This window comes from Homo sapiens, chromosome 6 (assembly GCF_000001405.40).
Source record: "Homo sapiens chromosome 6, GRCh38.p14 Primary Assembly".
Lineage (NCBI taxonomy): Eukaryota > Metazoa > Chordata > Mammalia > Primates > Hominidae > Homo > Homo sapiens.
This window is the reverse complement of record NC_000006.12, coordinates 143,863,836-143,887,103: the sequence shown is the minus strand read 5'-3', so window position 1 is coordinate 143,887,103 and position 23,268 is coordinate 143,863,836. Positions and strand designations below refer to the sequence as shown.

The following is a 23,268-nucleotide window of genomic DNA, read 5'->3' as shown; positions in this document are numbered from 1 at the left end:
GCTCTGCATAGCTCCATACCTATCGGCTAAGAGGTGTCTGGTGTTTCTTGGAGTCATGTAATACTACAGCACAGCTACAGTGGTGTTCCCACGTTGAGACAGAGTTAGAAGGAAACACAGAATCTTTATGCAGAATTGAAAAAAATAGGATGTTTACTTTTATATAATTAATAAAATTACTTCTATGTAATTGTTATTGTCAATTTCAGAGTGCATAGAGGGCATGATGATTTGGTCAAAAGTCAAGCATAGCCTCAAAAGCAACCCAAAATGTCTACACACCTGGGTTCAAGGATGGAGGGGGTGGAGGTGGGAGGGGTCGGCCTTCTTTAATGGCTAGCATACACTGCTTTGCTGATCGGATTGCATTAATAAAGTCTTCATGTTGTTGTCTCCAGTTAGACTTCCTCACAGGTGGAGACTGTAAAAAATAAAACCAACAAATAATACCCTAGACTATATACCTCTCCATTACAATTTTGTTTAAAGCTGGAATTTGAATTCACAGGAAACAGAACTGTGAAAATTGGGGAAAAGGAGAGTTTGTTTTTCAAAAGTACTCCTTAAAGAGGTTTGGAAAGTACAGTAATATAATTTGCAAGCCACAAGAGTGAGGGAAAACACAAAATAAAAATCAGAAAAATAAAGAAACTATAAAACTTTAAAGAAAAGCAAATGTAGATTAAAAGTGACTTTCTTCTCAGGTTAATTGCTAGATTTAAAGCCACTCTAATGAAAACATAAACAAGATTATTTTTTGCTACATCTGGAAAATATCTGAAGTATATCTGGAAATCTAAGTGAGCAAGATTATAAAGAAAAAAGTAAAGGTGGATTACAGTTACATTACATTACTGTATTATCAAGCAAAAATGAAACCAGAAATCCCAGAAATAGGCCTTACAGTACCGCAGAATGTAATAACAAACACTAAAGAAGATATCAGGAGTACCTTGGATTGTGGAGTCTTCTTCACAGTAGGAATGTCAGTGCCCTGTAATCTTTGCTTCAAAGAACTGAAAGGTTTACGCTTTCTGTTGAAGAGTTTCTTACATATTGGTCCATGCCTTTCCTAGAAAACGAAGAGTAGGGATTGGAATTTCTAAAGTGCACAATCAGTTTTTAATGCCTAGGTGTACCTAGACAGCCCCCACTCCAGGGACTATGTTTGCTCCTCAGAGCCTAGTTCATTCTCTAACAGGTCACAGCAGAGCAAATCCATCTGGCTCTTCTCATCCATGTTACATATAACTAGATATTGTGCTTGAGCAAAGACAATAAAATGCCTTTATAGCTAAAAGACTTACTTCAAATTTGGGTTTATATATTTAACTCAAATGTGGGCAGTATGTTCTTTACTCCAATCAGTAGTCCTTCAAGTATTCAACATTTCTGATACAAAAACTGAAGAGCTAACATGCAGAGCTTTCCCTGTGTACCACCTGTATAAAATGTGCTACTGTACCACTATGGGACCTTGGCCCTCTCCCTTCGTGGATGTGTGACACATAATAACCATCATTGACACAGTAGCTTTGTCAGACCCCACAAAATACAAGCTCTATAAAAATCACTGCACTGGCTAAGAACAAGCCATCCATTTTAAGCTAAAGGAGAGAGAAAGATCAAATCATTTGATCAATGCCCTCCATAGCCTAGAAATAGGCTTAGGAAATGAAACTCAAAAGTATCCAAGATGTACCTGACATTTAGAGATCCCTCTGCAAATGGAACCTCCCAGGTCTCAAACTAATTCTCAGGGGGTGTGGCTCCAGTCTGGCAAAGGCAGTGACACACACTGGTGGACTACAGGGCCACAACCAGCCCCGCAAGCTCTCCCTCTAGTTTCAGGAGGCTCTAACCACAGTTAACTAAAAGACAGCTATTTCATTTTTTAAATTCTCCAGAAAAATAAAACCTACAACCTCATTTTATAGTCTTTTGTCCAAAACATAGTCAGGCTTACAGTCCACATCCTTTAAGTTCCAGATAAGTCTCCTTTATCTAAAATGTCCCAACTGACAGCTGTATTATCATCTTAGATTTTCTTTTTGAAAAAAAATCATCTTTCTTGGGAACCCCTTTATAATATTGGGGCATACCATCTATTTGATTCCCTAATTTTGAAATAAATCAAGCTTTTATTCAACTTTATAGCCATCAATCGGGGACTTGACATGCCGTTAGCTTGAATCTGTACAACAATTAGATCTTGGAACAGGACTTACATCCATGTATCATTTTGTTCAAATGGTATAAAAACCCTCAAATTTGAAGGTTCTGTATACGTGGCAAAGCAGAAAACAGGAAGGTTAAAGGACTTGTCAGGATTAGTGACAAATTTGAGGCTAAAAGCCAGGTTTCCAGATGTCTAAAATTCAATGCTCATTCCTCTTGACTAGCTAATTTCCCTGGTGCTTTGGCCTTGAAATTTGAATTTTCGATGCTTAAAGAAAAGGTGGAAGAGCCAAAACCTCTTGAGGGATCATTGACGATGCCAAGAGACTTCCATCTGGCATCATTTCAGGAGGACCATGTTTAATAGGGTCGCTCTTGAATGAGGCAGCATCAATCTGCCTCAGTGTTCTCTGGGCCCACCAGCCATAGGTTATGTACTTTTCCTCTTCCCTTGCTTCCCCTCCACATCTGTCTTTAATCTTTGCACTGCCGCCTCCTCACTGACTTGACAGTTCATTTAAGTCCAATGAAACACATCTACAAAATGTCTTTATGTTTACCAGAACATCTGCTGCAAAACGTCTTCCACAGACTTCACAGGGAAACAATTCCTGATTGCCATCTGTGTAAAATTCAAGAGCACATTATGTTAGTTTCATGGAATTTCCTCGCTGAGAAGAAATGACTGACTGGAGGTGACCTCAATAGCTTGATATCCTCACTCTCTTTTCCCTCCCCACCAACTGCTTCTTCCCTTTGGGAAGACCCTGTGTAAACTAAACTCACCTGTGTTTTCCTTTCCTGATATAAACTCCTCACTTCACTAAACAAGTAAATTCCATATCCTTCAGGCAACCAGAGTATAATTATTTGATTTAATATTTAATATATTCTTACATGAAGTGCCTGATAACTTTGCTTGAGACATAAGCAAAAAAATACCTTAGTATAAGGTGGTATTTTTACCACCAGTGGTAACATCTTTGGGACTCCTACTAGAATGTAAGTTCTGTGAAAGCTGAGACTGTGCCTATTTTATGCCCAATGCAAGTACTTGACCCATAGTAAGGTACTCAAGGTATTGGTTGAATGCATGGGCCAAGCAAGAATTGAATTTCTAACATAGAAACATTCATTCGATAAATAGATATTGGCTATATGCAATTCTGTGGAAATATTGGGAGAAATCATACATGGGACCAGCACAGAAAAAAAGTATGCAGATAAATTAATGACATTGGAAAAGTATCATGAGAAAAGCAAAATATTATGAAATTCTGAAAAAAGGTTTTTTGTATTACTTCCTTTTGGTTCATCAGGAGTCAAATATGTAAAGATTTAAAAAGCACTTCTATCAAAGCTATGATGTCTTAGGTTAATAAAAAAAGCAGTTTGAGGTCTGAGCATAGACTTTATATTAGACCAGTCATCTGGGCTTTACTCTACATGCAAAGAAAGCAACAAGGGACATTAAGTTGGAAGAATTAAACAGAGCTGTGGAAGATAGATGTGAGAAAGGCAAGAAGGGGCAAATGGATTGCGAGTATAGTGGGAGAAGAGCGGAGTTTAGTGAAAAAGCTGCAGGTGGGTCAGGTGTGGTGGCTCACGCCTGTAATCCCAACACTATGGGAGGCTGAAGCAGGAGGATTGCTTGAGCCTAAGGATTCGAGACCAGCTTGGGCAACATAGGGAGATTGTGTCTCTACACAAAATAAAAAATTAGTTGGGCTTGGTGGCTCGCGCCTGTGGTCCCAGCTACTCAGGAGGCTGAGGTGAGAGGATCACTTGAGCCCAGGAGGCAGAAGTTGCAGTGAGCCATGATCATAACACTGCACTCCAGCCTGGGAGACAGAGCAAGATCCTGTCTCCCCCACTTACACACAAAAAAGCTGAAGGTGGAGGCCTGAAATGGAAAGGAAATAGGAGATGAGTGATTCTGTATCAAAGAGTCAACAGCCTGATTAGATTTGTGGGAGTTAGGAGGTGGCAAAGAGAAAAGAATGCTTGAGGACTATTCTACGTTTAGAGGCAGAAGGACTGAGAAGATGCTGGGAGTGTGGGATAGAAACAGGAAACTTGAAAAGAAGGGCCATCTTAGGAAGAAAAATGACTTCAGCTTTGGAAACACTGAGTTGAAATAGAGTTGTCCGGCCAGCAGGATGGAAATGAGGGAGGTCAGGGTTAGAGACACAGATGTAGGCTTTGAGAAATGAAGTAAAGGCATGATATTGCCAGGGAAGAAGTCATGGAAAGAGAAGTGCAGAGATGATCCTTAGGGAAACTTATATTTAAGGCCAAGAAAATGATGATGATAAGCCAGGAGGAGAAACAGGAGAGAACAGGGTCATGGAAATTGAAGGAAGACAGTTTGAAAAAGGAAGCCCTAGTTAACAGGAAGCAGATGGGTAGCCTGCTACAGACATTGTTGATTTAAATGATTTCTTGTCACATCTACTAATTGGTATTGTATTTTCAACACAGGCCATCCATCACAGCACACAGAAATACCTCTTGCCCTCCCTGTTCTTTTGGTGCAGTTTGTAAAACTTCATCTAAATATATATATATATATATATATATATATATATATAAAAAATATAAAATATGTATACATATTTTAAGCAAGGGTACCACAACCTGAAACTACTCATCTTGATTATAAAACTACTGCTGCTCTTTCTAAAACACTAGTGAAGGATAATCTATTTTTATGAATATTACAGTAACATTTGTGTGGTGTTTTCCTATGTTATCTCATGTGATCCTTACAGTGACCCTATAAGACAGGGTTAGTACTATTTCTATTTTACAAATGAGAAAACGGAGGCCCAAGTAGGCAACTTCTCTAAGACTGCAGGTAGTAAGTGGTAATACTGAGACTTGAATTTGAGTCTCTTTCCAAGTATTAAGACTGTTAATTCAACCGTCACTACAACTAGAGAGATGTTAGTACTCACCTGAAAACAACTAGAAGTCCCTAGAGGATCAATGACCTCTGGTTGAAATCAGTGAGTCAATGAATTTAAAATACTGACAGATACAAATGATATGATTCAATTCAATACTTGGATACAGATGGACCACCACCTTCTGAACCACATTCAACTCAGAAGCTTGAGTATAAGGAAGGAAGGGAACACTTACCTAGCCAGCTGAATCAAACAGGGAGATCAATGTGGTCTGCAGTGTTTGTTTCTGTGTATTGAATCACATGGAATATGTGATTGCTAGAACATTAAAAGAACCTTTTGAGACTTCTAAAATGCCTTTCAGTAGGTGAACGGTTAAACAAACTGTGGTACATCTATAGCCTGGAATACTGCTCAGCAATAAAAAGACCACTTTTTCTTTTTTTTTTTTTTTTTTTTTTTTTTTGAGACAGGGTCTCGGTCTTTCACCCAGGCTAGGGTACAGTGGGATGATCACGGCTCATTACAGCCTCTACTTTCTGGACTCAAGCAATCCTCCCACCTCAGCTTCTTGAGTAGCTAGGACAACAGGCATGTGCCACCACACCCAGCTAGCTTTTTTATTTTTTGTGGAGACGGGGTCTCACTATATTGCTTAGACTGGTCTCGAACTCTTGGGCTCAAGCAGTCCTCCCACCTTGGCCTCCCAAAGTATTGGGATTGCAGGTGTAAGCCACCGTGCCCAGCTGAAAAAGAACACCACTGATACATGCAATAATCTGGATGGATTTCAATGCTGGGTGAAACGAGCCCATCTTCAAAGGTCACATACTGTGTGATTTCACCTGCACAACTTATTAAAAAATGACAAAAATTAGAGAGATAGGACACAGATTAGAGACTGTAAAAGGATAAAGATGAGTGGGAGTGGGGTGGAAGGTGGTTGTGATTCTATGGGGTTAGAATGAGGGAGATCTCTGTGTGATGGAATAGTTGTGTATCTTCACTGTGAGGTGGTTCTGCGTGTTATCAAATGGTACAGACTCTGAACACACCATATACTAATGTTAGTTTCCTGGTTTTGATATTGTACTATAGTTATTTAAGATGTAACTTAGGGAAAACTGGGTAAATGGCATACAGCATCTCTCTGTGCTATTTTGTAACATTTTGTAAAACTATAATTACGGCAAAATAAAAAGTTTAAAAACAATATCTAGGGGTCAGCAAACTGTAGCCAGTGGGCCAAATCTGACGCCTTTTTTTTTTGTAAATAAAGTTTTATAGGAACACAGCCATGCTCATTTGTATACATAGCATTTATTGCTGCTTTCCTGCTCCAACAGCAGAGTTTAATACTTTCGATGAAGGCCATATGACCTGCAAAGCCAAAAATTATGCTACTTGGCCTCTGACAGAAATAGGTTGCCAAAAATTGCTGAACCATTTTTATATTAATTTAAAGGAATTTGTGGGAGAATAACATGGAAAAATATTAATGAAACATTTTGTTCACATATTTACTAATAAAGACTGGAAGGGCACACACAGAGTAATTACTTTGGGTATGAATAAAGATGAATATTACTTTTAGTTTTCTGTATTTCCAAACTTTTAATGAAAATTATGCATCACTATTTTAAAAATCAGAACAAATGAGTGCCTTTCAAAAAATAAAAAGAAACCCTTTGGAAGAAAATGTTCTAAAACAATGAGTATCACCTCAGAGATTTCTTTTTCCTCTCTATCTGGAATCATACTTGGTAAACTATTATAGTGGCTATTATTTTTAAACATTGGTTTATAATCTTTGAAAATGTTAAAAATGAGTAACAGAAAGTAATCTGGGAGTGATAAAGCTTTGTTTAACACATCAAAAATAAAACATAGGCCAGGAATGGTGGCTCACAACTGTAATCCCAGCATATTTGGGAGGCTAAGGTGAGAGGATTGCTTGAGCCCAGGAGTTCAATACCAGCCTGGGAAACACAGTGAGACTCTCATCTCTACAAAAAATTTTAAAAATTAGCCAGGCATGGTAGCATGCACTTGTGGTCCCAGTTACTCAGGAGGCTGAGGCCAAAGAATCACTTGAGTCCAGGAGGCTGAGGTTGCAGTGAGCCATGATTGATTGTGCCTGCTGGGCAACAGAGCTAGACCCTGTCTCAAAAAAAAAAAAAAAAAAAAAAAAATCAGGGACAACTTGAGCAGGAAAAAAAAAAAAACAAAAACAAACAAACATTACAAAGAAGCATGGAGAGAATTAGGGTTAGATTAAAATTGAAAAAGTTTTACTTTACTTTTGACCAGATATTCTCTTTCTTGAGCTGGAAGTTAAGAATGCTTTGTAGAGAACTAAGCTATTCACATTTTCTTAAAGGAGCATGGTAGAGAAGAAAAAAGGAAGACACTTTCTCATTCAGATGCCTGCAAATCACAGAACTCTTCAGTTCTTTGCAGTCCAGAACATGCAAATATTTAGCAATATCAACATCTTCCTAGGCCCTATGGCAAGGGGGTGGAATAACGGCCTCAACTTACCAATAAAATTTATCTCAGGAACATAAGTCATAAGATAAGAAAAAGAATTAAGACTCAGGATAGCAGATCCTATCTAATTTAGAGCTTCCCGTCTAATTTTGCTTTCTCCCTAAACCCCAATAAAGCTATAGTAAAGTGACAAAGGGACATAGAAACATAGGACAGGGAGGAAAGAAAACAAGAAACCTAAAATTTGGAAAGCTAATAGACATTGTAACTGACTTGGAGGACTTAAAGCAACACCAAACTCTACTTCCCAAACTAACAGTAAGGGAGAACTGAGAACCATCCAGATTCACACTACAGACTCTTAAAAGTCACAGCAACTCCTGGACAGCATGTACCTCTAAAACTGAGGCAGGCGAATGAGGAGGAAGAGACTGTCAAAATATGGAGGACCAAGGGGAAAGCTGTTTGAAAGAAGTTAAGATTCCTAGATCGCGCCCTGCCCCCAACCCCTGCCCCACACCGCAAGTCTCCTACTCCTTGGATAAATGCCCTTCCCTGTCTCTAGGTGATTCTACTTTCTGGAAAGGAAAAAATATGCAGTCTGTGCATTAGTCAATATAAGGCATGTCTGAAGGCATGAGTATACAGCAAACACAGATAGGTAGGTATAGATACAGACATACAGTCAATTCTCATTATTTTTGGTAGTTAAGTTCTATAAAGTCACTGTGAGCACTGAATTAGCAAATACTGAACTGTGGCTCCTAGGGGAAATATAGGGTTAGGTTCCTGTGAGTCTCTGGTCACAACATTTTTGTTAATGGATCAATACAAAACCTTGTTTTATGCATGTTTCTGTTTAAAGACACCTTCTTTATAGTGTTGATTCAGTAATGTTGAACTCATGCCAATAGTGCTGTAACTCATGACTGAATGTTTACCTAATGCACATATTTTCTCCTTAGGGCAAATCACAGCCTTGAGCTTAGGAACACTAGACAGCACTTCAGCAATGTTCTAGGCAGCCTTTCCCCTCCCCTTCCGCCTTTGAGACAAGGTCTTGCTCTGTCACCCAGGCTGGAGTACAGTGGTGCGATCTTGGCACACTGCAACCTCTGCCTCCTGGATTCAAGCGATCCTCCCACCTCAGCCTCCTGAGTAGCTGGGAGCACAGGCCCACACCACCACACCTGGCTAACATGGCCATTTTAAACAGTGAAATCACCAAAGAAAAAGCACAAAAATGTGGAAAATGTGGCACTAAATAGCCCATGGAAGGAACTTGAGTACATTATGAACACTAAAACAAGAAAGTAGAGTACTACCTTGTTCACCCTCAACTGGGAAAATGTGCTGAATGACTCAACTTTTTTATCACTATGTGCATGTCTGCAAATGACTGTAAAAGTGCCACAAGTACTGATGTTAGGGTTACAAGTAAGTTTTAGCAAGTAGGTAAATTTGCAAACAGGGAATCCATGAATAACAAGAATCAGCTATATATGTATGCATGTCTACATATACATGTATACAGGTACATATATACAATCTAGTGATTAATTTCATGAATAGTGATACTGAAAGCAGAGAATATCCACATGCCCATCTTCTTCTACTTGGCTTAGAGGACTCTGCTTGCCAAACCCTTACCCTCAGGGCAAAATGTAACTTCTCTGGGAATCAAATTATTCCACTAGCAAATATGTAAAGATACTGATATTGGGAGATTCCCAAACAGCTCACTCAGACCACCCTACAATACAGCTCAGTCATGAAATACTGCTCACTTGTTCATTATTTCCATTTTTTTCCTCTTCCAGTCTTAATGATGAGCAAACAGACAGGAATTTCCAAAGATCTGAAGAACGTCTCTAGCAGGTAAGTCCAAAACAGACAAAAAAAAAATTAAAGGAAAATTATAACTCTTAGAAATTAAAAAAGTCTTGCTGGGCACAGTGGCTCACGCCTGTAATCCCAGCACTTTGGGAGGCAGAGGCGGGCGGATCACCCGAGGTTGGTAGTTTGAGACCAGCCTGACCAACATGGAGAAACCCTGTCTCTACTAAAAATACAAAAATTAGCCAGGCGTGGTGGTACATGCCTGTAATTCCAGCTACTCAGGAGGCTGAGGCAGGAGAATAGCTTGAACCCAGGAGGTGGAGGTTTTGGTGAACTGAGATGGCGCCATTGCACTCCAGGCTGGGCAAAAAGAGCAAAACTCTGTCTCAAAAAAAAAAAAAAAAAAAAAAAAAAAGAAATTAAAAAAATCTTTAGGAGAAAAACTCAACAGAGAGTTGAAAGATAAAATTAGGAAAATCTCCCAGAAAATAAAGTAAAATGGCATAGAAATGGGAAAGAAACAAGCAAATTAGAATACCAGTCCAGACGGGTCTACTCCAAATAATACTTCAAGAGAGAAAAAGGAGAAAATACAAGGAAGAGAATAAAAATAATTTTTAATTATTTCCAAAAAAGAAGGACATAAACCTCCTGTGGTGGTTAATATTGAGTGTCAACTTGACTGAATTGAAGGATGCAAAGTATTCATCGTGGGTGTGTCTGTGAGGGTGTTGCCAAAGGAGATTAACACTTGAGTCAGTGGGCTGGGAAAGGCAGACCCACCCTCAATCTCAGTGGGCACCATCTAATCAGCTGCCAGCAAGGCTAGAATATAAAGCAGGCAGAAAAATACGAAAAAAACTAGACTGGCCTAACCTCCTAGCCTACACCTTTCTCCTGTGCTGGATGCTTCTAGCCCTTGAACATCAGACTCCAAGTTCTTCAGTTTTGGGACTCAGACTGGCTCTCCTTGCTCCTCAGCTTGCAGATGGCCTATTGTGGGACCTTGTGATCATGTGAGTTAATACTTAATACATTTCCCTTTATATATATATTCCCCTTATATATATTTCCTATTAGTTCTGTCTCTCTAGAGAACCCTGACTAATACAGATTTTTGTACCAGGAGTTCTAGAAGAACAGAATATTAAGAATGGGGTTCTTTCATTGGTTTTGGGGTTTCTGGAGTTGGCTGCTTAATATAATTAGACCCAAAAATGCTAATGACTCTACTTCTAATAGTATGCAGAACACTGATAGACTTTGGCATGAACTGTTTAGAGAGTTACACAAAATAAATGCATTTGACACTCCTGATTCATTGCTCATGAGAGGCAAGGAGTTTAGTTACTCTATACATAATACCTTTGACCACATGTGGAGAACCAAGGAACATAATGAAGCTGGTTGGTTGCTCCTAAGTTCAGGGGACAGAGTAATGAAAGAAAATGATGAATTCAGGGATTTTAACTCCCAGCTTCAGAAGCAGATACTAAGCCTCAAATCTCCTAAGATTGCCCTGAGTGAGAGTCTTATCTCCTGTAGAGAAAGAGCTGAAATTGTGGAAAAACAGATACAAGCTCTTATCATGCAAGTGGCTGACCTGCAATGAAAGGTGCATGCACAGCCTTGCCAAGTGTCTACTGTTAAAGTGAGGGAATTGATTAGAAAAGAATGGGACCCTGCAACTTTGAATGGGGACATATGGGAAGACCCTGATGAAGCTGGGGACACTGAGTTTGTAAACTCTGATGAGGCTTTTTTGCCAGAAGAAACAGCTTCCCCCTCCCCAGTGGTAGCAACATCCCTTCTCCGACCCGTGCTGCTGTCAGCCTTTCCACCTTTGTCTGAGGAGATAAACCCTGTGCTGCCTGAGGCAACAGTGATGGCCTCCCCTGAGACAGTTGCCAGGCAAGATAATGTTGATTCTCCTCAGAAACCACCTCCAACACCTCTGTTTGCTTCTAGATCTATAGACAAAATTCCTGTGGGGCCCTAGAGGTGAGGTTGAGAATGTGACCCATGAGGAGGTGCGATACACTCGAAAAGAATTGTTTTCTAACTTATATAAACAGAAATCTGGAGAACAGGCATGGGAATGGATATTAAGGGTGTGGTATAATGGTGGAAGGAACATAGAGTTGGATCGGGCTGAATTTATAGATTTGGGGACACTAGTAGAGACTCTGCATTTACTGTTGCAGCTCAGGGAGTTAAAAAAAATTCTAATAGTTTATTTGCTTGGTTAGCTGAAATATGGATTAAAAGATGGCCCACTGGGAGCAAGCTGGAAATGCCTGATCTCTCTTGGTTTAATGTAGAAGAAGGGATCCAAAGGCATAATGATGGTGGAGTGGATTAGTCACTTTAGACCTACTCATCCCATCAGGGAGGGTCCAGAAAATATACCCTTGACCAAGGCCTTGTAAAACAGATTTGTGAGGGCAGCACCTGCATCTCTGAAGATCCCTGTAATTGCCTTTCTCTGTATGTCACATCTAACAGTGGGATACACAGTCACTCAACTACAAAATTTAAAAACAATGGGAATAGGCCAGGTGCAGTGGTGGCTCATGCCTGTAATCTGAACACTCTGGAAAGCTGAGGTGGGCAGATCACTTGAGGTCAGGAGTTCGAGACCACCCTGGCCAATATGATGAAACCCTGTCTCTACTAAAAATACAAAAATTAGCTGGAAGTGGTGGTGAGCACCTGCAGTCCCACATACCCGGGGGGCTGAGGCGGGAGAATCCTTTGAACCTGGGAGGTGGTGGTTGCAGTGAGCTGAGATTTTGCCACTGCACTGCAGTCTGGGTAACAGAAAGAGACCTCATCTCAAAAACAAAAAATAAATAAAAGAATAAATAAATAAATTGATATGATTTGGTTCTGTCTCCACCAAACTCTCAACTTGAATTGTATCTCTGAGAATTACCACATGTTGTGGGAGGGACCCAGGGGAAGGTAATTGAATCATGGGGGCTGGTCTTTCCCATGCTGTTCTTGTGATAGTAAATGAGTCTCATGAGATCTGATGGGTTTTTCAGGGGTTTCCACTTTTGCTTCTTCCTCATTTTCTCTTGCTGCCACCATGTAAGAAATGCCTTTCACCTCCTGCCATGATTCTGAGTCCTCCCCAGCCATGTGGTACTGTAAGTCCAATTATACCTCTTTTTCTTCCCAGTCTCAGGTATGTCTTTATCAGCAGTGTGAAAACAGACTAATACAGTAAATTGGTACCAGTAGAGTGGGGTGTTCCTGAAAAGATACCCGAAAATGTGGAAGTGACTTTGGAACTGGGTAACAGGCAGAGGTTGGAACAGTTTGGAGGGCTCAGAAGAAGACAGGAAAATGTGGGAAAGCTTGGAACCTCCAAGAGACTTGTTGAATGGCTTTGACAAAATGCTGATGGTGATATGAACAATAAGGTCCAGGTTGAGGTGATCTCAGATGGAGATGAGGAACTTGTTGGGAACTGAAGCAAGGGTGACTCTTGTTATTTTTTATCAAAGAGACTGATGGCATTTCGCCCCGCCCTAGAGATTTGTGGAAATTTGAACTTGAGAGATATGACGTAGGGTACCTGGTGGAAGAAATTTCTAAGCAGGAAAGCATCAAAAGGTGACTTGGGTGCTGTTAAAAATATTCCATTTTAAAAGGGAAATAGACGATAAAAGTTCAGAAAATTTGCAACTTGATGATGCAGTAGAAAAGGAAAACCCATTTTTTGAGAAGAAATTAAAGCCAGCTGCAGAAATTTGCATAAGTAGCAAGGAGTCTAATGTTAATCCCCAAGACCATGGAAAAAATGTCTCCAGGCCATTTCAGAGACCTTCACAGCAGCCCCTCCCATCGAACGCCCAGAGGTCTAGGAGGAAAAAGTGGTTTCCTGGGGCAGGGCCCAGGGTACCCATGTACAGCCTAGGGACTTGGTGCCCTGTGTCCCAGCCACTTCAGCTGTGGCTGATTGGGGCCAATGTACAGCTCGGGCTATGCCTTCAGAGGGTGGAAGCCCCAAGCCTTGGCAGCTTCCATATGGTGTTGAGCTTGCGGGTGCACAGAAGTGAAGAATTGAGGTTTGGGAACTTCCCCCTAGATTTCAGAAGATGTATGGAAACGCCTGGATTCTCAGGCAAAAGTTTGCTGCAGGGGTGGGGTCCTCATGGAGAACCTCTGCTAGGGCAGTGAGGAAGGGAAATCTGGGGGTAGAGCCCCCACACAGAGTCCCTGGTGGAGCTGTGAGAAGAGGGCCACTGTCCTCCAGACCCCAGAATGGTAGATCCACTGACAGCTTGAACTGTGTGGCTCGAAAAGCCATGGACACTCAACACCAACCCATGAAAGCAGGCAGGAAGGAGGCTGTACCCTGCAAAGCCACAGAGGCAGAGCTGCCAAGACCTTGGGAACCCACCTCTTGCATCAGCATGACCTGGATGTGAGACATGGAGTCAAAGGAGATCATTTTGGAACTGTAAAATTTGACTGCCCTGCTGGATTTCACATTTGCATGGGCCCTGTAACCCCTTTGTTTTGGCCAGTTTCTCCCATTTGAAATGGCTGTATTTACCCAATACCTGCACCCTCATTTTATCTAGGAAGTAACTAGCTTGCTTTTGATTTTACAGTTCATAGGTGGAAGGGACTTGCCTTGTTTCAGATGAGACTTTGGACTGTGGAGTTTTGGATTAATGCTGAAATGAGTTAAGACTTTGGGAGACTGTTGGGGAGGCATGATTGGTTTTGAAATGTGAGGACATGAGATTTTCAGGGGCCAGGGGCAGAATGATATGGTTTGGTTGTGTCCCTACCCAAATCTCCACTTGAATTTTATCTCCCAGAATTCTTGTGTGTTGTGGGAGGGACCCAGAGGAAGATAACTAAATGGGGGCCGGTCTTTCCCATGCTATTCTTATGATAGTGATTGAGTCTCATGAGATCTGATGGATTTATGAGGGATTTCCACTTTTGCTTTTTCCTCATTTTCTCTTGCTGCCACCATGTAAGTAGTGCCTTTTGCCTTCTGCCATGATTCTGAGGCCTCCCCAGCCATGTGGAACTGTAAGTCTGATTAAACCTCTTTTTCTTCCCAGTCTCAGGTATGTCTTTATCAGCAGCATGAAAATAGACTAATACATAAATTTAAAAAATAAAAAATAAATATAGTGGGAATATTTGGATCCCGAGGTGGCAGGGGCCAAGTGGCAGCACTCAGCCATCAAAGGCAAGGTGGATGTAGCTACTGTAATGGACTGCAGAGGCAAAGTGGCAACAATCAGAATAGTCTGACACATATAGAGCTCTGGCACTGACTAATCACAGTGTTTCTAGAAGTGAAACTGAAAGGAAGCCTACTGTATTTTTACTTAATTTATATAAGCAGAAAACTTCTAGGTCAAATGGACAAAAGACTAATCTGAATTATAAAAACAGAGAATCATGGCCCCTTAATTTCCAGACTTGAGCCAGTTTACGAACCCAGAGCTGCTTGAATGAAGGGGAGGCCGGGTCCCCTTGAAAAAGGACTCCATTACACTACTGACAATTTATGCTGTTAATCTTTCTCCCATCCTTCCCCAAGAAGACCTCTGGCCTTGTACCAGGGTAACTATGCATTGGGGAAAAAGGAAATGATCAGACATTTCGGAAACTACTGGACACTGGCTCTGAGCTGATGTTGATTCCAGGGGACCCAAAACGTCATTATGGTCCTCCAGTTAACGTACGGGCTTATGGAGGTCAGGTAATAATGGAGTTTCAGCTCAGGTCCGAATTACAGTGGGTCCAGTGGATCCCTGGACTCATCCTGTGGTCATTTCCCCAGTGCCAGAATGCAAAATTGGCATAGACATACTTAGCAGCTGGCAGAACCCCCACATTGGCTCCCTGATTGGTCGGGTGAGGATTATTATGGTGAGAAAGGCCAAATGGAAGCCATAAGCACTGTCTTTACCTAGAAAAATAGTAAATCAAAAACAGTATCACATCCCTGCAGAGACTGTGGCGATTAGTACCACCATCAAGGACTTGAAAGACTCAGGGTGGTGATTCCTACCACATCCCTGTTCAACTCTCCCATTTGGCCTGTGCAGAAGACAGATGGATCTGGAAGAATGAGAGTGGATTATCATAAGCTTAACCAAGTGATGACTCCAACTGCAGCTGCTGTACCAGATGTGGTTTCATTGTTTGAGCCAATTAACACATTTCTTGGTACCTGGTATGCAGCCATTGACTTGGCAAATGCCCTTTTCTCCATTCCTGTCTGTAAGGCCCACCAGAAGCAATTTGCCTTCAGCTGGCAAGGCCAGCAATATACCTTTACTGTTCTACCTCAGAGGTATATTAACTGTTTGGCTTTGTGTCATAATCTTATTCAGAGAGACCTTGATCACTTTTTGCTTCCACAAGGTATCACACTGGTCCATTACATTGATGACATTATGCTGACTGGATCCAGTGAGCAAGAAGTAGTAAACACACTGGACTTATTGGTGAGATATTTGCGTGCCAGAGGATGGGAAATCTGATGAAAATTTAGGGAACTTCTTCCACAATAAAATTTCTAGGGGTCCAGTGGTATGGGTCCTGTTGAGATATTCCTTCTAAGATGAAGGATAAGTTGCTGCATTTGGCCCCTCCTACCACCAAGAAAGAGGCACAATGTCTAGTGGATCTATTTGGATTTTGGAGGCAACACATTTCTCATGTGGGTGTGTTAATCCGGCCCATTTATCAAGTGACCTGAAGCTGCCAGTTTTGAGTGGGGTCCAGAACAGGAGAAGGCTCTACAACAGGTCCAGGCTGCTGTGCAAGCTGCTCTGTCAATTGGGCCATATGACCCAGCAGATCCAATGGTACTTGAGGTGTCAGTGGCAGATGGCGATGCTGTTTGGAGCCTTTGGCAGGCCCCCAAAGGTGAATCACAGTGGAGGCCTCTAGGATTTTGGAGCAAGGCTCTGCCATCTTCTACAGATAATTACTCTTCTTTTGAGAGACAGCTCTTGGCCTGTTACTGGGCTTTGGTGGAAACTGAACGTTTGACTGTGGGTCATCAAGTCACCATGCAACCTGACCTGCCTATCATGAACTGAGTGCTTTCTGACCCATCTAGCCATAAAGTGGGTCATGCACAGCAGCATCCATCATCAAATGGAAGTGTATATACATGATTGGACTCAAGCAGGTCCTAAAGGCACAAGTAAGTTACATGAGGAAGTGGCTCAAATGCCCAAGGTGGAGACTCCTGCCACCTTGCCTTCTCTCCCCTAGCCTGCACCAATGGCCTCATGAGGAGTTCTCTATGATCAGTTGACAGAAAAAGAGAAGACTAGAGCCCGGTTCACAGATGGTTCTGCACAATATGGAGGCACCACCCAAAAGTGGACAGCTGCCTTTCTAGGACATCCCTGAAGGACAGCCCCTTCCTAGGACATCCCTGAAAGTGGTGAGGGAAAATTTTCCCAGTGGGCAGAACTTTGAACAGTGCACTTGCTTGTGCACTTTGCATGAAAGGAGAAATGGTCAGATGTGCAATTATATACTGATTCATGGGCTGTTGCCAGTAGTTTGGCTGGATAGTCAGGGACTTGGAAGAAGCATGATTGGAAAATTGGTGACAAAGAAATTTGGGGAAGAGGTATGTGGATGGACCTCTCTGAGTGGTCAAAAACTGGAAAGATATTTGTATCCCATGTGAATGCTCACCAACTGGTGACCTCAGCAGAGGAGGATTTTAATAATCAAGTGGATAGGATGACCCGTTCTGTGGACACCACTCAGCCTCTTTCCCCAGCCACCCCTGTTGTCGCCCAATGGGCCCATGAACAAAGTGGCCATGGTGGCAGGAATGAAGGTTATGCATGGACTCAGCAACATGGACTTCCACTCACCAAAGCTGACCTGACTACAGCCACTGCTGAGTGCCCAATTTGCCAGCAGCAGAGACCAACACTGAGACCTCGATATGGCACCACTTCTCAGGGTGATCAGCCAGCTACCTGCTGGCAGGTTGATTACATTGAACCTCTTCCATCATGGAAAAGGCAGAGGTTTCTCCTCACTGGAATAAACACTCACTCTGGATATGGGTTTGCCTATCCTCCATGCAATGCTTCTGCCAAGACTACCATCCATGGACTCATAGCATGCCTTATCCACTGTCATGGTATTCCACACAGCATTGCCTCTCTTTACAGAGAGAGAGGCACTCACTTTACAGATAAAGAAGTGCAGCAGTGGGCGCATGCTCATGGAATTCACTGGTCTCACCATGTTCTTCATCATCCTGAAGCAGTTGGATTGATATAACGGTGGGATGGCCTTTTGAAGTCACAATTACAACAACTAGGTGACAATACGTTGAAGGGCTGGGGTAAAGTTCTCCAGAAGATCGTGTATGCTCTACTACTCCACAACAGAGGTAAGGAAGAGTAGGCATGGAATACAGGAGATCTATTAGGGTGTCTCTTAGTATTACCATGTCCTGTGATTCAGGTCAATGGGAAACTACAACAGCCTAATCCAGGCAGGACTACAAATGGCCCAGACCCTTCAGGAATGAAGGTTTGGGTCACTCCACCAGGAAAAAACCATGACCTGCTGAGGTGCTTGCTGAAGAAAAAGGGAATACAGAATGGGTAGTAGAAGAATGTAGTCATCAATACCAGCTATGACCACGTGACCAGCTGCAGAAATGAGGACTGTAATTGTCATTAGTATTTCCTCCTTCTTTTGTTAAAAACATGTTTGTGCATGTACACACGTGTACTAAGAAGATATCTTCATTTTATTTACTTTTTCCTTCATCATGTGACATAAGATTTATTGACTTCGCATCAGCATTTAAGAATTGTTAACTTTATGTAATAGTATTTGGGTTGGGGATTGGTGCATTTCTGGTTGTATTAAGGATAGTTGTATTACGTTAGGCATAATTATGACCTTATTATTGTCTTTATTTGAAGATTATGTATGATCTCAGGAGATGGGTATGGGTTGAAGTTGACAAGAGGTAGACTTGTGATGGTTAATACTGAGTGTCAACCTGATTGGAAAGAAGGATGCAAAGTTATTGATCCTGGGTGTGTCTGAGAGGGTGTTACCAGAGGAGATTAACATTTGAGTTAGTGGGCTGGGGAAGGCAGACTCATCCTTAATCTGGGTGGGCACCACCTAGTCACCTGCCAGCGCAGATCGAATCTAAAGCAGGCAGAAAAAAAAAATGTGAAAAGACTAGACTGGCCTAGCCTCCCAGCCTACATCTTTCTCCTGTGCTGGATGCTTCCTGCCCTCAAACATTGAACTCCAAGTTCTTCAGTTTTGGCACTGTACTGGTTGTCCTTGCTCCTCAGCTTGCAGACGGCCTATTGTGGGACCTTGTGATTGTGAGTTAATACTTAATAAATTCCCCTTTATATACAGATCTAGCCTATTAGTTCCATCCCTCTAGAGAACCCTAATACACCTTCTGATTTAAAAGACTCAGTAAAATGGAAGTTTCAGAACAGTGAAGACAGATTCTACAGACTTCCAAAGAAAAATCAGATACAAATGATCAGCAATCAGGATGGCTTCAGATTCCCAAAAAGCAAAATTGGAAATGGAAACAAATGGAAGAAACCCTTTAAACTTCTGAGGTAAAATAATCTACAACCAAGAATTCTATATTCAGTCAAGCTGTCAATCCAACATAAGAGTAGAATATATTTCCAGACATCCAAGTTCCCAAAAAGTCTACATCCCCTGTACCCCATTTCATGAATTACTGGAGGACGTGATCCACAAGCATGTGAATGAGATATAGGAAAAGGCAATTATAGACTGGATAGAGAAAAGGGAATTCCCAGTATGATAGCTGGGCACAACAACCAAAGAGCAACCAGTCGAGGTTTGAGGTGTGTGATTAGAGACAGACGTGTTGACGGCTATCACGACTAAGATATTCACTGCCTTCATAATCTCAAGATAGTATATTCAAGGAAGTCTGGCTCCCATTTTGTTCTACACTTGTCATGTTTGGCTATATTCTAATAAAGTGCCTGCTCTCCCTTTTGTGTCCTGATCTCTAGATCAGTTGGAGACACTCATTTCACCCCATAGGAAGGTTCTGCATTGATCTTGAGAGGTCAGGGTGAGTTTAGAAGCAGAAAATATAAAACAAGAATGCAATCCTCTAAGCATATTTCTGCAGATCCTGGATGCCTAAACTGTGACTTGTTCCCTAAAACTCACTCATCACCTTGCTCACTGACATCTAAACATGGGTTCTTGTAAACTCTGGAAATGGAAGTCAGACCCAGGGACTGTTCACAGTTCATCTTCCCTAGGATGCTTTCATCTAATTGGTAGCAAACACTGACCTCAAAAAGCTAAGTTTGTTTATTTCAGTTGTTCAAAATGAAACAAGATGTTGTGTTTAAGGATACTATACAAGTGGCTTTAAAAAAGAAGGAAATACTTAATGCAGGTTAAGTATCCCTTATCCAAAATGCTTGGGACCAGAAGTGTTTCAGATTTTTTTTCAGACTTTGGAACAAGATATCATGGGGATGGGACCCAAGTCTAAACACTTTATTTCGTATGTCACCTTACACACACAGCCTGAAAGTAACTTTTTGCAATATTTTAAATACTTTTGTGCATGAAACAAAGCTTGTATTAAGTACTTATACACGGTATTTTCTATTTGTTGTCTCACATTGGCACTCAACGTTTTTGGATTTTGGATTAGAGATGTTCAACTTCTATGACAGCTGGATACTATGCAAGAATTACCTGAGGGGAAAGAGTGAAATGAAATCAAGGATGGATTCACAGGGGACTTCTATGTTCTATTTCTTAACTTGAACAGTGGCCCTGTGTTTGCTTTAAATATTCTCCTGTAAGTTTCACAATTAAAATGCAAGGCCATTAGAATTTCTACCTTCTCTGCCCTTTAACTGGAACAAGACTGATAAAGCATACCAATGTCAACCCACATGAAGAAGTAACATAAAATTATTGAAAATGTAACAGTAAAGTTACAAGAGGTTAGAGTTCTTTCAACTGAGGTGACTTGATGACATCAAAATGGAGATGTAGATACAGGGCATCACAGGTAATAGACACAAGCGGTAACTGCACTTCAGACACTTAGACTTGTAAAGTAACAGACAGTCCTCAACTTATGATGGTTCAAGTTAACAATTTTTCCATGATGGTGAGAAAGCATATGTATTCAGTAGAAAGTGGTACAATCCTCTCGTGATGCTGGGCAGCAGTGGTGAGCCACTGCTCCCAGTCAGCCATGTGATCACGAGGGCAAATTGATAACTCTACAGCGTGCTGTATTGCCAGATGGTTTTGCACAACTGTGGGCTAATGGAAAGTATTCTGAGCAAGTTTAAGGTAGGCTAGGCTGAGCTATGATGTTCAGTAGGTTAGGTGTAGTAAATGCATTTTTGGCTTACCATGTTTTCAGCTTATGGTGGGCTTATCAGGGCATAATCCCACCACGAGTCAAGGAGCATCTGTGGTACTATGATATCCAAGTGGTTTTACACCATTCACGGGCAGTGCTTAAACAAAATAGGTGGGCCGGGTGTTGGCGGCTCATGCCTGTAATCCCAGCACTTTGGGAGGCCGAGGCGGGCGGATCATAAGGTCAAGAGTTTTGAGACCAGCCTGGCCAACATGGCGAAACCCTGTCTCTACTAAGAATACAAAAATTAGCTGGGCATGGTGGTGCACACCTGTAATCCCAGCTACTCGGGAGGCTGAGGCAGGGGAATCGCCTGAACCCGGGAGTTGGAGGTTGCAGTGAGATGAGATCGCACTACTGCGCTCCAGCTCGGGCGCCAGAGCAAGACCTGTCTTGGCAAAAAAAAAAAGTTTAAGATACAAATTCTTCAAGATTTTGCCCCCTGCCTGGATCTCTTAGGCCTTTCTCTCCTCCCTAACCCCAGTGATTCTAGGCCCTGCTATGGTTCTATGTTTAATTCTTTTCTGAAATCTTTCCCATCTATCCATTCATTCATACACTACTTTGTGACTGTATACTGAATGCCAGGCACCCTTCCAGACCTAAGGATAAAGCAATAAATAAAACACTGTGCCTTCAGGGTTTGTCCTGCGAGAGGAGACTGAAAAACAGTCCTCTGCGTCAACAGATGTTGTGGAGAACATAAACCAGGGAAGGAGGGTCAAGGATGCAGGGGAGGGATGCGTGCAGGATTTTTAAATACAAGCTCAGGGAATAGCCTATAGTGAAGGTTACAGCTGAGCACCAACCATGAGGAAGGTCTGTCTGCAGTGAAAGCACTTCTGGGGGAACAGCAAGTACCAAGATTCTAATTACAAGTGGTACTTACCACGATAGTATTGCCAGTTACATTTCGCTGCACCTATCCTGCCTCCTCAGACCATGTGGCTCCTGAAGGCAAAAACCCTCTGATCTCTTGGGCTCCCAACATTTAGCATGGAGCTTTTATGTTCAGTTCCCAATCATCATTTATAGATTTTTAGAGAACCAAGATATCAGAAAATTCATTTAAAGTATCATGAATTTGTTCTTCAGAATAAAATTAAAATATTTAAGTTTGGAGTATAACCTGCCTAAATCACAATATGCTTCATCAAGACTCATGGCCTAGTCTTTTTCTCTTAATTGCAAAATATATAATATATGGATTTAAACACAGTGAAGTTAGCACCTCATAACACAGAATTTGAGTAACATGACAAAGAAACATCCAATGCCTATTAAGACTCTTGCTGTTTTTGAGAATCTTCAGTTGAGACAGCTATCAAAATAAATGGCCAATCCTTTTAGTACTTACATTCTCAATATTGACATAAACCATCATCTGACCCTTTACTTCACAGGTTGGCATTTAAATACATTCTCTCCAGTATCCTACTTCTGCAATGACAAGCTCTTCAGTCAAGATTTTTTTCTAGCCAATGTTGGTAGAATACCTAATGCCATCAGTTTTGACAACTCTTTAAAAATCCTACAATACTTAGATTTAAACGGATCACACATGGTAGAACAAGCTAATACCTACCAGCTTTGGAAAAGCCATAAATGAATGATTACAGATGAAGGCATTTTCTAATAATTTAGATATCAAGTGCAGCTCACCTGCCAAAAATGGTTCTGCCCCAGCCATTCTGTTCCTAACTCAGAGCAACAGTGTTCACAGATTTTTACAGCCCAGTCCAGATAACATCATACTAGTCAAGAACATAAACCAGGACCACTAATCTGTTGCAAGAAGTCATAGTTTACCAAATAATCAACAATTGTGATGATGTCATTGCCTAAACCTTGAAAAAGTTTAAATCAGTTAAAACAAAAATCAACTCATCAAAAACAGGGAAAGTTTTCAACGATGTATTTTAATCAAGTATGAATGGTTCCAAGCATTAACTGATGTTGAAAAGACAAACTCCCCAGTTTAAACTGAAATAAATATTTCTGATTTTGAACTAGGGACTCACTGAAGCCAAATAAGTTTTCTTATTTCCTTGACTATTCTGTTTCCTGCCTTCACTGTTCCTAAATCCCAAAAGCAAGTCATCCAGTAATATAACAGGAAATATGAATCTTAAGAACCTTAATATTCAGTTTTGCCACACTTTTGAAACAGTCCTTTGTATACAGCAAGGGAAAACTTAGCTTCCTAACAGTGGAACCTTCTCAGAAAAACTCATCTTACACTAAACAGAATAAAGTCAGCATTTCAAAATTGAGTTTAACCAGGCCACTTTTCTATTTACAGCAAATTAAACCATGTAATTCCTGAAAAGGCGTGGAGAGGATTCAAAGAAATATTTGAAAACATCTGCAAAAAACAACTATGACAACCATACA

At 41.2% G+C, this 23,268-nt stretch overlaps 1 protein-coding gene across 1 annotated transcript in view, besides 2 other annotated features; it reads right to left on the bottom strand.

The window, feature by feature from the left end:
* The window catches only part of ZC2HC1B (zinc finger C2HC-type containing 1B), a 73,870-nt gene extending 51,240 nt beyond the window's left edge, over nucleotides 1-22,630 (bottom strand). Inside the window, exons 1-4 of the mRNA NM_001013623.3 lie at nucleotides 22,537-22,630; nucleotides 2,739-2,800; nucleotides 953-1,072; nucleotides 283-421 (exon numbers count right to left, since the gene is read on the bottom strand). Coding sequence (NP_001013645.1) covers nucleotides 283-421; nucleotides 953-1,072; nucleotides 2,739-2,800; nucleotides 22,537-22,564 — 349 coding nt within the window. The 5' untranslated portion in view covers nucleotides 22,565-22,630. The remainder of the gene's footprint in view (nucleotides 1-282; nucleotides 422-952; nucleotides 1,073-2,738; nucleotides 2,801-22,536) is intronic.
* Nucleotides 8,306-8,506: a silencer, noted in NCBI's record as "peak6181 fragment used in MPRA reporter construct". NCBI's record gives its function as "represses an SCP1 promoter by STARR-seq MPRAs in K562 erythroleukemia cells {active_cell/tissue: K562}" and the evidence as "EXISTENCE:reporter gene assay evidence [ECO:0000049][PMID:32103011]".
* Nucleotides 20,426-20,626: a silencer, noted in NCBI's record as "peak6180 fragment used in MPRA reporter construct". NCBI's record gives its function as "represses an SCP1 promoter by STARR-seq MPRAs in K562 erythroleukemia cells {active_cell/tissue: K562}" and the evidence as "EXISTENCE:reporter gene assay evidence [ECO:0000049][PMID:32103011]".
* Nucleotides 22,631-23,268: the final 638 nt, after the last annotated feature.